Genomic DNA, 17292 nt, shown 5'->3' on the forward strand with positions numbered 1-17292 from the left:
GAGGGAAGGAGGGAGGGAGGGAGCGAAGGAGGGGGGGAGGAACTGCGGGAGGGACAGAGGGAAAGAGGGAGGGAGGGAGCAAGAAACAGAGAGAGGAAGGCAGAGAGAAAAGCAGTCTTCTGACTCCAGGACCACCAGGATCTTGCACTCCGGGAAAATGCTGGGTGCCCAGTGCAGGCTAAGTGCTCCGCCCACAGCCGCGTCGGCCTGCGGGGCTCTCACCGGCCCTCTGGATCGCCAGCCTGGGTTACTTCATCCGAGAGCGATTCAGCCGAATTTCGTCTCCCAAGGAATGAGGGAATTGCCCAGAGAGCAATGAGCCGAGACTCGGGTGATTGTCCATTTTTCATCCACATGGTTCACAGATGAGATAGCCCCACGTTGAGCCTGCAACGGAGCGCTAGGTGGATAGTCTCGTCCACACAGGAGTCACACTCAGGCTGACTGAAGCGTGGTTTCGGGTTCCACGTTCCTTTGCCTTCTGCAAGGGGACCTGTTGCTCATGCATCTCTGGCCCCCGAAAGCGTGACCATGTTGACTATTTGTTTCCCGAGCTCTCTGGGGACACAGAAACCTCCAGAGAACCGCGGAAAAGCAGCATCGTGTCTTCGCTCTCCTTTCCAGTTCCCTGTTTGGAAACAGGCCATAGTGGAGACTCCCCATGTTGCAGGAAACAGGAATCCCTCTTCAGGCCGTAATGCACCGGGCCTTTCTTTTCTCTGTAGTTTCGCTCTCGTTTTCTACATGAAAATGAATGAGATCCGTAAGGAATCAGAAAAGGATTTATAGCACACAAGTCTTGACAACTGTCACATTCCACTTTGAAATCACTCTGAGGTGAAACAACAATTTTCCAAGATTTAAAGAAAAATAGATTTTATAAAAGGGATTCTTTTATTCACTCAATACATCGTTTATGTTACTGACAGTAACAAGTGATATTTTTTCCACTATAATTTGCTCTGATGAAATAAATAATTCTTTTAATTCCTAATAAATGCTACATTTTCAAGACTAAAGGAATTATCAGTAGGCATTCTTTCTTCTTGATCTAAGTTATTTGTCTCTAAAATATGTCAAGTAAGCTTTTAAAGATTCAGGGAAGGGCAGCTTCATGATTTTTTTCTCTCAGTAAATTTTGAGGTGGCTTCTCTGGCTTCATCGCTTCACTGTGATCTTTTTCTTCCTCTTCTTTATTATTTTCTTCCATTTTTTCATCCTCCTCACTGTCTAGAGGCTGAGGAATAAGCTGATTACCCACAAATACGTAAGTGGTAATTCTCTGTTTAACTCTCTTTCTTTTCCTTTTGGGTGGAGCCCTTTGAGGAATCCCCTTGGCCTGCATCTCATCATTTATGAAATTTCTAAGTGTGCATCAAATGTAAATACGAGCCAAGTCCTGTAGATTCCTGACAGTGATTCCTTACAGATTTGTAGTGGGGAGGGTTAGATTTAATTTTATATAAGGTTTGAATAATTGTTAAGCTTATGTAACCTGATCTGAATTTGCACTTCCTCTATGAAAACTTCACTTATCTAATAAGGAAATCAAATGCTTTGTAGACCTATTTACCTTACTTTTGTTGCAATCACTGTTGCTGGGTTGCTGTATATATATTCTGGGCAATATATGAGTGCAATAACAATACAAAATATTGAATAATTTAGCTTTTAAAAATCCCACAAATTTTATGGAATTTTACAGCCCTGCTACTTTTGCTTTTGAATCTCTTGCCAAATACACGAGTAAAATATCTGCTTCTCTCAGAGAGATTTTAAGAGCACAGCAAGTGAATTATTAAAATAGGAAGTATGTACTTAATACAACTCTTTATATGGACACTTTACATTTTCAGTATTTTAAAAAATGAGGTTACCTTAACTCTCTAGAATTTTAAAAGTATATTTAGAATTGTTTTTTCTGTAGTTCACTGTATAAAGTATTTGTTTTTTTTAAAAAAGCAAAACCATTGTTATGTGTGACACTTGATAGGCCACAGAACGAGTGAATGAGCATGAGTGAGGCCACTTTCTTAGAGGGCTGTAAGTAGCAGCGCCATGGTAGACCTGGTCAGCGGATGCACTTTAGCAGATGGAACTTCTAATTTATCTGAATATTTATCTTTGACAAGGTAGGGCTGAGCCTACATTTGTTTTGGAACTTTCTACTACAAGAAATATTCACAGAAATTGTATGTAGATACTCTTTGTTTGGAAAATCCTGTTCAGAATCCTAGTGTAATCTTTGGGACTTATGCCATGCTCATTTGACTTCTTCCCATACTTTTTATGTTTCTTTTGGTAAAACTATAATGGTTTTCATTTTTCACTTAATATCACACAATTAAACTGTCATATTTGAGTTTATTGTAACTTATCAGTGATAAAAAACAGATAGTAACTGCCATTGTTTGTTTCTTTGTTTTCCTAATAAGGCCTGAAAACAGCCATTCCTTGTTAAGAAAGTGTGCAGTGTAACATATTTGCTAGAGTTACATGGATTATATATTTCTTAAAGGGAAAAATTTGAGAGTATCATGGATTACCACCAGCATTATTATTATAGCAGTTGCTCAGATTTGGTTAAGGAAGCCCAATCAATGTATAGTGAAAGGATTATTTGCTCTCTGCTAAGATTCAGATATTGTTTAAAAAATCTCAGCTCCAATAATTCCACAACATCTAAAAACAAGTGTTTGTGATCATGTGTAAGCATGAAATTGTTCCAAGTAAGTGAGGATATTGTAGTTATGTGAAAGACAGTGTCAATGGAAGGTTATTTGTTTTATACCAGTGGCTGGGATGGTGGAATTGGGGTTATTTCTACAGTTATTCTTAGACGATTACTAAACTGTTAAGAAATGCCCCATATCATTTGTATCTAGGAAAGAAAAAAGTCAGTATCATACTGCTGTCATCTGTCAGAAGTGTTCATTTTATTTTGAATTAAACGTGGCTTTTTAAGTTACCTTGAATTCCTGGTGACCACATGTTTTTATCTGGAAAACCTGGGGAAAGTTATCTGTCCCATCTACCCTGCTGTTTTTGTTTTTTGTTTTTTGTTTTTTTGTTTTTTTTTTTCTCGGTTGGAGCTGCTGTTTAGATGATGCTTTTACTATGTAGGAGAGAGTTTTTGTTAAGGATATATTTGAAGATTGGCTTTTCCATATTGTCTTTCATTCTTTGACCTTGGCAAAGTGTACAGTAGATTTTCATGATCATTGCAGATTTCTTGTCATTGAAACGTATCTTTTATGTTTTTAAATGCATTCATTTTACACTCATGACTTTATCATTGACTTTAAGAGGTAGAAATAAAAAATGAAAATAAAAAAAATCAATGAGATCCACACACCTGCGTGTGTGACTATCACGGCAATGGAGACACCCACAGGCATTGCCGGCTTCAGGGAGAGGGACTGGAAAACTCAAGACTATCATGGAGGTTCAGTTCCACACTCTACCCTTCCAGGGTGGTTTCTCCCTGAAATCGTGTGTGAACCCAGAGAGAAACTTCCAGTTTCTGTAGAATTCTGGAGAACTCAGAGAGCCAGTCCCAGAAGCCCCCCTTTCCCATCCGATCTGGCCCCACCTTCACCTACCACACAAGGCCCTGTGTCTGTGGTTTCTGGGCCCTTCGGAGGGCGGGTTACCCAGGGCCCTTGGGTGTTCATGCATATTCATGAAGGGGTGAAGCTGGTGGGTCTTTATAAGGGCCACTGGCGGGGTCGGACTCCTGCCTGGACCTGCGTGCAGCACAGAGGCCAACTGAGGCCCACGGGAGCCGCCGGCCTCTATCTGTCTGTGTCTGTCCGTGAAATTCCAGCCAGGTGCCCTCGCGATGGCTCTCCCGACACCTTCTAACAGCCCCTTCCCCGCGAAAGCCCGAGGACGAGGACGGCAAAGGAGACTGGTTTGTAACCTGAACGAAAAAGATGCCCTGCCAGCATGCTTTGAGCGGAACCTGTACCCGAACTGGCCAGAGAGACCTGCCTATTGGAGTCCAGGATTCAGATTTCGTGTCAGAATCGAAGGTCCAGGCATCCAGGCCAGGGTAGCAGGGAACCCGCGCACGCAGGCGGCCTGTGCAACGCGGCCTACAGCGGGTGCCACCCTCCCTCCTTGGTCGCCTTCACCCACGCCAGGGCGTGGGGAACAGGGGGCTTTCGTGAGCCAGACAGCAAGGGTCGCCCCTCTGCTGCAGCCCAGCCAGGCTTCGCAGGCAGAAGGAATCTCCCAACCTATCACGGCACACAGGGATTTTGGATTTGCGGCCCTGGCTCCTTCGGAAGTGGAGCTGTCCCACCCTCAGACACCTGGGTGACCTCAGCATCCGAACAGATGGCAGCAGGACCAGGACCCGTAGTACGGTGGCTTTCTCGGTGCGTGCTCAATGGGACAGCTTGGGCCGCTCAGGCTGAGTCACAGGGGCAAGGTGTGCTTGCGCCGCACACGTCCCACATGAGTCCATATTGGGGCTGGGGCCAGGGTCCACAGGTCGCCAGGGCTCGTGGGAACGCGAAGCCGAGGCACATCTACGCAGCTCGCGCCCATGGAGGTCTCGGCGTGTCAGAAGAAGATGTAAGCAATCCAGGCACCCTCCCAACCGCTCCAGGAGCTGGAGTCTTCATCTGTACTCGCATCCACCCTGTTATATGAGCTCCTGTCTACCCCATTTTTCAGCAAAGGACACAGTTTCAGCAAAGGACACAACCTTTCCTAGCAACGGAGCCGCTGAGGGATTTGAAGGACTTGGAAGAGCCTGCTTTTCTGGAACCACTCCTCAGCCAGGAAGAACACTGGGCTCAGCTGGAGGAGCTTTAGGACGCGGGGTTGGGACCGGGTGGGGGCAGGTCAGTGGCTCCTCTTTCGCGGTGAACCTCTGGTTCAGTATGGAGACCTGTGTCTTCCCTTCCAGCTGACCTGTCTAGGATCCCTGAGTCCAAGTCCAGCGAGAGACTCCACAGAAAGGAGGGCTGTCATTCTTTCCTGAGCATCCCAAGGATTTCAGAGCCAGCCCAGGTACTCAGAGATGGGCCGTCTACTGCGCATGCGCAGGTCCGCGGGCAGCCGGCTAGGGTTTGGGACCAGCCCAGGCAGGGCTCTCATCCCTTCCCCCACTCCCCCACACAGTACATCCCCCCCTCCCCCGCGTTCTTCAGTGGTGTAGGTGGAGACCTCCACCCCGGGAAATACCGATCCGGGCAGCGGCCAGGCCTGCTCTCCTTTTCGCAGCTCAACTCCACTACCTCCCCGCTCCACCCTCCCTTGCCCACCCGTGCCCCGCCATCCTCCTTGGCATCACGTGAAGCGCCCGGGAACTAAATGTAGACCCCGAGATCTCGTGCAAACCGTGGTTCTGCCCTTTCTAGGCGGGAGGGAAGCCAGGCAGAGATGGGGAAAGGAACGGAGACAAAGTGAGAGAGAGGGACAGAGGGAGGAAAGGACGGATGAAAGGACGGACCTTGGAAGGGATGGAGGGAGGGAGGGAGGGAAAGAAAAAGGAAGGGAGGGAGGGAAGGAGGGAGAAAGGGAGGTATGGATGGTGGGAGAGAGGGAAGGAGAGAACAGAGGGAGGGAGGGAGACAGGGAGGGAGAGAGGGAGAGAAGGAAGAACAGAGGGAAGGATGGACAGAGGGAGAAAAGGAGCAAGAAACAGAGAAGGGAAGGCAAAGAGAAAAGAGGTCTTCTGCCTCCAGGCCCAGCAGGACCTCGAACTCCGGGAAAATGTTGGGTGCCCAGTGCAGGCTGAGTGCTCAGCCCACAGCCGCCTCGGCCGGCGGTGTGCTCACCGGCCCTCTGGTTCACCAGCCTGGGTTACTTCATTCGGGAGCGATTCAGAGGAATTCCACCTCCCAAGGAATGAGCGAATTCCCCAAAGATCAGAGACGAGACTCGAATGGTTGTCCGTTTTTCATCCACATGGTTCACAGATGACATATCCCCACGCTGAGCCTGCAACAGAGCGCGAGGCAGATACTCCCATCCACACAGGAGTCACACTCAAGCCGAGTGAACCATGATTCCGGATTCCACGTTCCTTTGCCCTCTGCAAGTGGGACTGCTGCTCACGTGTCTCTGGCCCCCGAAAGCGTGACCATGTTGACTGTTTGTTTCCCGAGCTCTGTGGGGACACAGAAACCCCCAGCGAAGGGTGGAAAAGCAGCATCGTGTCTTCGCTCTCCTTTCGTTTCCAAACAGGCCATTTTGGAGACTCCCCATGTTGCAGGAAACAGGAATCCGTCATCAGGCCGTGATGCCTCAGTCCCTTGCCCAGGCTATAGGCCCACCAGGCAGCCTCCCTTTTGCTGACACTCCAGGCCTTCCCCCCGGCTCGCGAGCTCCCGATTTTCCAACACATCGGGCCGGCTCAAGACAGGGTGTGCTTGGAGGAGTCAGGGCCCGGGGCCCACAGTCCTGGGATCCCCTCTGGTCCTCCGCCTTGCCACGGAAAAATTGTTTTGGATCCTTCGCCACCCCTCCTGCAAGGCCCCCTCTTGGCCCACACACCCAGAGCAGTCAGGGCTGCCCAGGGGCAAACAGCTGGCCCAGCCCCGCAGGCCCTTTTTCTCACAATACCCACACCATCGTCGCTTGTCCCAACGAGGACCCGCCCGTGGCCAACGGGACAGGAAGTCCCTGCTTTGCCCCGCGCCGGCACTAGAGCCTCGGCAGCCTGATCCCGGGAAACAGGAGCTGACGGACACGCAGACACACCCCACCACTACCACGAGCAAACCCACCACGACACACACACAGATACACACGGGTGCATGCACACAGCACACATGGACACACACACAGACACACACACGGACACACAAAGACACACACACGGAAACACACACACGGACACACATACAAGGACATACAGACCAAGACACAGACACAGCTTGAAAGAGAGCTAGGGAGACCGGGATGGAGAGATACAAATGGGGGGAGAGAGAGAAAAGTGCAGGGGGAGAGAGACAGAAGGTGACAGAAGAGCGAGGGTTGGAGGGGGAAGTAGAGAAAGGGAGAGGGTGAGGGAGTTGTAGAGCGAGAGAGACCGAGCCTTGGAGAGGGAGGCTCTGCTCAGGTAGACAGGGCACTTTGAGCAGGCCGAGGTGAGGTGGAGGGTGCTTGGGCCAGGCTAGAACAGGGGGTCAGGGCCGCCCATGCGGGAAAACCAACTGAGCCCTGAGACGTGTTTTTTTTTTTTCTTGGATTGGTTGGTTGCTTTGGGGGTGCGTTTCATAGGGTCCTTCCTTTGTTTGCTTCTTCCTGTCTCCTTGGTGCTGTGGGCCCCGAGATTTGTAGAGTGCACCCGTCCATCTGGTGGAAGCCGTGGCACCGAGCGTGTCCATGGGGCCAGGTCTGGGTCTCTCTCGTGTCCTCGGGACTAGAGTTTACACGAAGTTGGTGGCAATGGGAAACAGGGTGCACAGGGACAGATTTCTTCGTGGCTGGCGAAGACAATGTCCTTCCCCCGGGGAAAGCAGCCCACGGGTTCTGGAGCGGAGGTCTTGGATGGCAACTGTGGGACCTGCTGCCCCAACTTGGATGGTTGCGGGGGCGCTTGATGAATGAATTGAGTTGCCTGGGGTCCGGGGAGCAGGAACACACCCCGGAGGGCAGGAAACCCGCGTCTGCGCCTTCCAGGTCTAGTACCTGCTGCAGCGCCCCGGCTGGAGCCGGGCTCCTGGTGGGGCTGCAGCCAGGCGAAAGAGGTGGGATGCTGCCACCTGGCGGTATTGCAGCTGCAGACCCCCACGAGGAGGTTTCATTTTGACATAAATCTTTTTCTTTCTTCAGCTGATCTGTATCCTTAATTTTAGATTAGTGGTAACTCCACAAATCTAGAGGCACAAAATATGGTTGCCCACACCTTATAATCGCATTACCACCTCCCATTACCACCACCTTTCCCCCTCCTCCCCACCCTCAACCTGTAGACTAGGTCTCGCGATGTTTCCAAGGCTGGCCTCAAATTCCTGGGCTTAAGTTATTTGCCTGTCTTGGCCTCTCAAAGTGCTGGGATCAGCGGTGTGAGTCCCCAGGCCCAGCCAACCACCACGAAGTTTTGATTCAGCAGCACTGGGTCATGGAGCTAAGGACCCACAAATTTAGAAAAGTTTTTAAATATCATAACATTTCTGTGAGGAAATAGTATTTGGTATTACATTTTTAGACTCTTTTATAATGTTCTGTTTTTTTCCACTGAGCACAGTACTAAGTAGTAATTGGAAAAACACAGTGTAAGTCATATTACTTTTTCTAATACAGAGTCCTTGGCTGTTCTCTAAGCTAAACCTGATCACCTACATTGAGTAAAAGAAAAAGCCCCAGAGTGTGAGGAGACAGGAGATAGTAGCCAAACATCCAAATAGGTGGGAGTGAATAAGGCAGATGACACAGATGAGATGACCAAAGGTCAAGGAAAAAGCCAGATCTTAAAGTGTGGTTTGCGAAGCTATGCTCCAATGGAAATCTTTTCCGAGAAGCCCTGATTTCTTTCTCTTGCTTTCATTAGAGACAGATATCTTCTGCCCTATGCTCTTCAATTTTCTAGGACTGGACTTCCCCTTCAACGATCATTCTTCTAGGTTACAAAGAAAATCAAAGCCCTTTGCATGGCTTACAAGGGACTGGAGGACCTGGCTCTTGCTCTTTTATTGCTTTTGAGGACATGGGGCCGTCTGTGATTTTTAAGGAACTCTATGTTAAACATTTTCTAATTTCCATTTTGGGTCTTGTCTAAAATGTGTGAGAGTAGTGGAGATATTGGGATTTGGTTTAGAAATCCCAGAAACACCACATCCAGATGTCGTATGTTTTCTGCTTTATAATTTCATATCCTGTGAAGGTTTCAAATGTGATTCTACAGAAATTCATACTCAATAATTTAATCAGAACACTAAGCCTCTGCCCCATATAATAAAACGAAATGTTATTTTACTTCAAAATTTTAAGTTTTTGGTATGTATTGAGGCTAATACTGTAAACACTCTGTGCCATAATTCCTAAACTGTAATATGGTTTAATGTATCTACTTTCTACATTTAAAACATGTACTTTGCCATTGAGGAACTTAGAATATTGCTGAGCATGTATTAAATACCCATTTTTTTCTTGATTTTTAAATAGTTATCATTTTATAGTTTTCTCTTGTTTAGTTTGAAGCTTACTAGGATATTGTCATTGATATGTATGTATATATATATACACATACACACACACAAGTATATACGTATGTAATTGATATATACGTATATGTTTTATATATGTGTATATACACACTTATGTGAATATATGCATGTGTACATAACATTAATTTTTTGACCAATAAAAATTGCATAATTATGTATTGTGTATATTATAAAAGTTTGATAGGTATATATATTGTAAAATGTTTAATACAATTAAGTTGATGAATATTTATGTCACCTTACATGGTTATGTTTTTTGTAGTGAGAGCATTTGAGGTCTCCTACTGTTGTAGCAAATTTTAAGCATACAAAACACTGTTATTAACTACATCTTAAAGCTATACATTAGACCCCCAAAACTTATTTATCTTATAACTGAAAGTTTGTACCCTGAACACCTTATCATTTTTTCTACCTCCAGGCCTGGTCATTACCATTGTACGCTCTGCTTCTATGAGTTCAGGCTTTTTAAATTCTCCATTTAAGTGAGAACATACAGTGTTTGTCCTTCCGTGTCTGGCTTATTTTGCACAGCATAATGTACCCAGGTCCATTCATGTTGTTGAAATAGCAGAATTTCATTCTTTTTTATGGGTGAATAATATTCAGTTGTATATTTATACCACATTTTCCTTATCCATTCAGCATCTGCAGATAAGTCATTTAAAAAAAAAATACCCTTGACAGTTGTGAATAATGCTGCATTGAATACAAGGGTGCAGATAATTTTTGAGATGCTGATTTTATTTTGTTTATAGACAGAAGTGGAATTTCGGGATTGTACGATAGTTCTATTTTTTAAAATAACCTGCGTACTAATTTTCATAATGACTCTTCCAGTTTGCAACTCATTAAGAATGTACAGAAATATTTGGTCACATCCTTGTTAACACTTGTCATGTTTCTTTTTTTGATATTAGCCATTCCAACTGCTGTAAACTGGGATCCTTTGATTTGCAATTTTCTCATGAATGGTAATGTTTAGCATCTTTCTACACACCTGTTGGCCATTTGAATATGTTTGTAAAAAATATTTAGTCTTGGTCAGTGGAGCCAAGAGGGCCGAAGAGGAACAGCTCCCGTCTACAGCTCCCAGCGTGAGTGATGCAGAAGATGGGTGATTTCTGCATTTCCAACTAAGGTACCAGGCTAATGTAACTAGCGAGTGCCGGTCAGTGGGTGCAGGACAGTGGGTACAGTGCACCGCGCATGAGACAAAGCAGGGTGAGGCATTGTCTCACCTGGGAAGCACAAGGGGTCTGGGAATTCCCTTTCCTAGTCAAAGAAAGGGGTGACAGATGACACCTGGAAAATCGGGTTACTCCCACCCTAATACTGAACTTGTAAAACCAGCTTCACAAACAGCACACCAGGAGATTATATCCTGCACCTGGCTCGGAGGGTCCTATGCCCATGGAGCCTTGCTCATTGCTAGCACAGCACTCTGAGATCAAACTGAAAGGTGGCAGTGGGACTGGGGGAGGGGCTTGAGTAGGTAAACAAAGCAGCCGGGAAGCTTGAACTAGGTGGAGCCACCACAGCTCAAGGAGGCCTGCCTGCCTCTGTAGGCTCCACCACTGTGGGCAGGGCACAGACAAACAAAAGACAGCAATATCCTCTGCAGACATAAATGTCCCTGTCCGACAGCTTTGAAGAGAGTAGTGGTTCTCCCAGCACACAGCTTGAGATCTGAGAATGGGCAGACTGCATCCTCAAGTGGGTCCCTGATCCCCGAGTAGCCTAACTGGGAGGCACCCCCCAGTAGGGGTGGACTGACACCTCACACGGCCGGGTACACCTCTGAGACAAAACTTCCAGAGGAACCATCAGGCAGCAGCATTTGCAGTTCACCAATATCTGCTGTTCTGCAGCCACCGCTGCTGATACCCAGGTAAACAGGGTCTGGAGTGGACCTCCAGTAAACTCCAACAGACTTGCAGCTGAGGGTCCTGACTGTTAGAAGGAAAACTAACAAACAGAAAGGACATCCACGCCAAAAACCCATCTGTACATCACCATCATCAAAGACCAAAGGTAGATAAAACCACAAAGATGGGGAAAAAACAGAGCAGAAAAACTGGAAACTCTAAACATCATAGCATCTCTCCTCCTCCAAAGGATTGCAGCTCCTCACCAGCAACGGAACAAAGCTTGATGGAGAATGACTTTGATGAGTTGAGAGAGGAAGGCTTCAGATGATCAAACTACTCCGAGCTAAAGGAGGAAGTTCAAATGAATGGCAAAGAAGTTAAAAACTTTGAAAAAAATTAGATGAATGGCTTACTAGAATAACCAATGCAGAGGAGTCCTTAAAGGACCTGATGGAGCTGAAAACCATGACACAAGAACTATGTGATGAATGCACAAGCCTCAGTAACTGATGCAATCAACTGGAAGAAAGGGTATCAGCGAAGAAAGATGAAATGAATGAAATGAAGCATGAAGAGAAGTTTAGAGAAAAAAGAATAAAAAGAAATGAACAAAGCCTCCAAGAAATATGGGACTATGTGAAAAGACCAAATCTACGTCTAATTGGTGTACCTGAAAGTGACGGGAGAATGGAACCAAGTTGGAAAACAATCAGCAGGATATTATCCAGGAGAACTTCCCCAATCTAGTAAGGCAGGCCAACATTCACATTCAGGAAATACAGAGAACACCACAAAGATACTCCTCGAGAAGAGCAACTCCAAGACACATAATTGTCAGATTCACCAAAGTTGAAATGAAGGAAAAAATGTTAAGGGCAGCCAGAGAGAAAGGTCGGGTTACTCACAAAGGGAAGCCCATCAGACTAACAGTGGATCTCTCACCAGAAACTCTACAAGCCAGAAGAGAGTGGGGGCCAATATTCAACATTCTTAAAGAAAAGAATTTTCAACCCAGAATTTCATATCCAGCCAAACTAAGCTTCATAAGTGAAGGAAAAATAAAATCCTTTACAGACAAACAAATGCTGAGAGATTTTGTCACCATCAGACCTGCAATAAAAGAGCTCCTGAAGGAAGCCCTAAACACGGAAAGGAAAAACTGGTACCAGCCACTGCAAAAACATGCCAAATTGTAAAGATCATCGAGGCTAGGAAGAAACTGCGTCAACTAATGAGCAAAATAACCAGCTAACATCATAATGACAGGATCAAATTCACACTTAACAATACTAACGTTAAATGGAAATGGGCTAAATGCTCAAATTAAAAGGCACAGACTGGCAAATTGGATAAAGAGTCAAGACTCATCTGTGCTCTATTCAGGAAACACATCTCACATGCAGAGACACACACAGGCTCAACATAAAGGGACGGAAGAACATCTACCAAGCAAATGGAAAACAAAGAAAGGCAGGGGTTGCAATTCTAGTCTCAGATAAAACAGACATTAAACCAACAAAGATCAAAAGAGACAAAGAAGGCCATTATATAATGGTAAGGGATCAATTCAACAAGAAGAACTAATTATCATAAATACATATGCACCCAATACAGGAGCATCCAGATTCATAAAGCAAGTCCTTAGTGAACTACAAAGAGACTTAGACTACCACACAATAGTAATTGGAGACTTTAACACCCCACTGTCAACATTAGACAGATCAACACGACAGAATGTTAACAAGGATATCCAGGAATTGAACTCAGCTCTGCACCAAGTGGACCTAATAGGCATCTACAGAACTCTCCATCCCAAATCAACAGAATATACATTATTTTCAGCACCACACCACACATATTCCAAAATTGACCACATAGTTGAAAGTAAAGCACTGCTCAGCAAATGTAAAAAAAAAAAAAAATCATAATAAACTGTCTCTCAGACCACAATGCAATCAAACTAGAACTCAGTATTAAGAAATTCACTCAGAACTGCTCCACTACATGGAAACTGAAGAACCTGCTCCTGAATGATTACAGGGTACATAACGAAATGAAGGCAGAAATAAAGATATTCTTTGAAACCAAGGAGAACAAAGATAAAACATACCAGAATCTCTGGGACACATTCAAAGCAATGTGTAGAGGGAAATTTATAGAACTAAATGCCCACAAGAGAAAGCAGGAAAGATCTAAAATTGACACCTTAACATCACAATTAAAAGAACTAGAGAAGCAAGAGCAAACACATTCAAAAGCTAGTAGAAGTCAAGAAATAACTAAGATCAGAGCAGAACTGAAGGAAATAGAGCCACAAAAAAACCCTTCAAAAAATCAATGAATTCAGGAGCTGGTTTTTTGAAAAGATCAACAAAATTGATAGACTAATAAAGAAGAAAAGAGAGATGAATCAAATAGACACAATAAAAAATGACAAAGGGGATATCACGACTTATCCCACAGAAATACAAACTACCGTCAGAGAATACTATAAACAACTCTACATAAATAAACTAGAAAATCTAGAAGAAGTGGATAAATTCCTCTACACATACACTCTCCCAAGGCTAAAGCAGGAAGAAGTTGAATCTCTGAATAAACCAATAACAGGCTCTGAAATTGATGCAATAATTAATAGCTTACCAAAAAAAAGTCCAGGACCAGATGGATTCACAGCCGAATTCTACCAGAGGTACAAGGAGGAGTTGGTACCATTCCTTCTGAAATTATTCCAATCAATAGAAAAAGAAGGAATCCTCCCTAACTCATTTTATGAGGCCAGCATCATCCTGATATGAAAGCTGGGCAGAGACACAACAAAAAAAGAGAATTTTAGACCAATATCCTTGATGAACATTGATGCAAAAATCCTCAATAAAATACTGGCAAAATGAATCCAGCAACACATTAAAAAACTTATCCACCATGATCAAGAGGGCTTTATCCCTGGGGATACAAGACTGGTTCAACATACAAAAATCAATAAACGTAATCTAGCATATAAACAGAATCAAAGCCAAAAACTACAAGATTATCTCAATAGATGCAGAAAAGGCCTTTGACAAAATTCAACAACACTTCATGCTAAAAACTCTCAATAAATTAGGTATTGATGGGACGTATCTCAAAATAATAAGAGCTATCTATGACAAACCCACAGCCACTATCATACTGAATGGACAAAAACTGGAAGCATTCCCTTTGAAAACTGGCACAAGACAGGGATGCACTCTCTCACCACTCCTATTCAACATAGTGTTGGAAGTTCTGGCCAGTGCAATCAGGCAGGAGAAGGGAATAAAAGGCATTCAATTAGGAAAAGAGGAAGTCAAATTGCTCCTGTTTGCTGATGACATGATTGTATATCTGGAAAACCCCATTTTCTCAGCCCAAAATCTCCTTAAGCTGATAAGCAACTTCAGCAAAGTCTCAGAATACAAAATCGTTTTGCAAAAATCACAAGCATTCTTATACACCAATAACAGACAAACAGAGAGCCAAATCATGAGTGAGTTCCCATTCACAATTGCTTCAAAGAGGATAAAATACCTAGGAATCCAACTTACAAAGGATGTGAAGGACCTCTTCAAGGAGAACTACAAACCACTGCTCAATGAAATAAAAGAGGATACAAACAAATGGAAGAACATTCCATGCTCATGGGTAGGAAGAACCAATATTGTGAAAATGGCCATACTGCCCCAGGTAATTTATAGATTCAATGCCATCCACATCAAGCTTCCAATGACTTTCTTCAGAGAATTGGAAAAAAACTACTTTAAAGTTCATATGGAACCAAAAAAGAGCCTGCATCGCCAAGTCAATCCTAAGCCAAAAGAACAAAGCTGGAGGCATCACACTACCTGACTTCAAACTATACTACAAGGCTACAGTAACCAAAACAGCATGATACTGGTAACAAAACAGAGATATAGACCAATGGAATAGAACAGAGCCCTCAGAAATAATGCCGCATATATACAACTATCTGATCTTTGACAAACCTGACAAAAACAAGTAATGGGGAAAGGATTCCCTATTTAATAAATGGTGCTGGGAAAACTGGCTAGCCATATGTAGAAAGCTGAAACTGGATCCCTTCCTTACACCTTATACAAAAATTAATTCAAGATGGATTAAAGACTTACATGTTAGACCTAAAATCATAGAAACTCTAGAAGTAAACCTAGGCAATACAATTCAGGACATAGGCATGGGCAAGTACTTCATGTCTAAAACACCAAAAGCAATGACAACACAAGCCAAAATTGACAAATGGGATCTAATTAAACTAAAGAGCGTCTGCACAGAAGAAACCACCATCAGAGTGAACGGGCAAAATATGGAATGGGAGAAAATTTTTGCAATCTACTCATCTGACAAAGGGCTAATATCCAGAATTTACAATGAGCTCAAACAAATTAACAAGAAAAAAACAAACAACCCCATCAACAAGTGGGTGAAGGATATGAAAAGACACTTCTCAAAAGAAGACATTTATGCAGCCAAAAAACACATGAAAAAATACTCACCATCACTGGCCATCAGAGAAATGCAAATCAAAACCTTGATGAGATAACATCTCACACCATTTAGGGTGGCGATCATTAAAAAGTCAGGAAATGACAGGTGCTGGAGAGGATGTGGAGAAATAGGAACACTTTTACACTGTTGTTGGGACTGTAAACTAGTTCGACCATTGTGGAAGTCGGTGTGGCGATCCCTCAGGGATCTAGAACTAGAAATACCATTTGACCCAGCCATCCCATTACTGGGTATATACCCAAAGGATTATAAATCATGCTGCTATAAAGACACATGCACACGTATGTTTATTGCGACACTATTCACAGTAGCAAGGACTTGGAACCAACACAAATGTCCAACAATGATAGACTGGATTAAGAAAATGTGGCACATATGTACCATGGAATACTATGCAGCCATAAAAAAGGATGAGTTCATGTCCTTTGTAGGGCCATGGATGAAGCTGGAAACCATCATTCTCAGCAAACTATCACAAGGACAAAAAACCAAACACTGCATGTTCTCACTCATAGGTGGGAATTGAACAATGAGAACACATGGAAAAAGGAAAGGGAACATCACACACTGGGGCCTGTTGTGAGGTGTGGGAGGGGGGAAGGATAGCATTAGGGGATATACCTAATGCTAAATGACGAGTTAATGGGTGTAGCAAACCAACATATCACATGTATACATATGTAACAAACCTGCACGTTGTGCGCCTGTACTCTAAAAGTTAAAGTATAATAATAATTTAAAAAGTTTAGTCTTTTGCTATTTTTTAGTTGGGTATTATAATTATTACTGTTTAGCTTCTGATTTGTATGAGTTTCTGCTATATTTTGAATACTAACCTCTTATCATATATGGTTTACAAATGTTTTATCTCATCTTAAATGTTTTCTTATTTTTTTGCTGTGCACAATAGTTTAATACACTACAACTTTGTGTCTTGTTTTATTGCTATACTTTTGATATCATATTTAAAAAACATTGCCAAGGCCAGTATCATGGATGCTTTTCATATGCTTTTCTAAAAATTTTCTTTTAAGGATTTATGTATGAAATTTAAGTCTTTATTTTAAGTCAATTTTTGTGTCTGGTGTAGGAAATATGATCTAGTTTTATTATTGTGCTTGCGAGTATCCAGTTTTCTCAGCACTAAGTATTGAAAAGGCTACACTTTTTGTATGGCGTATTCATAGTGCCCTTGTCAAAGATTAGCTTTAGGTGCATAGATTTACTTCTGGGCTCTGTATTCTGTTCCATTGGTTTTTGTGTTTCTTCCTATAAACATTCCATTCTATTATGTTTACTGTAGTCTTGAAATGTAGTTTTAAATAATAAAGTATAATGTCCCCAGATTTCGTTTTATTCCTCACGATTGCTTTGGCCATTCAATATTTCTTATAGGTTTATATACATTGCAGACTTTATTTTCTATTACTGTAAAAAGTGGCACAGGAATTTTGATAGGAAGTTGAATTAATCTACAGATTGCTTTGGATAATATGGCACTTAGACAATATTCTTCTAATCCATAAATATGTAATATATTTACATTTATTTGTATCTTCTTTATTTTGTATCAATATATTTTATTTTTATCGTAAAGATCTTTCACCACATTGGTTAAATTTATTGCTAAGAAATCTATTATTTTGTTGCTCTTGTAAATGAGATTTTTTTTTTTTTACTGGTTTGTT

General features: G+C 43.3%; 2 pseudogenes; both read left to right on the forward strand.

The window, feature by feature from the left end:
* The first annotated feature begins 860 nt into the window (after positions 1–860).
* PCMTD1P4 (protein-L-isoaspartate (D-aspartate) O-methyltransferase domain containing 1 pseudogene 4) lies at positions 861–1416 on the forward strand (annotated as a pseudogene).
* On the forward strand, positions 3838–4821 carry DUX4L41 (double homeobox 4 like 41 (pseudogene); annotated as a pseudogene).

Source organism: Homo sapiens, chromosome 22 (assembly GCF_000001405.40).
Source record: "Homo sapiens chromosome 22, GRCh38.p14 Primary Assembly".
Taxonomy (NCBI): Eukaryota; Metazoa; Chordata; class Mammalia; order Primates; family Hominidae; genus Homo; species Homo sapiens.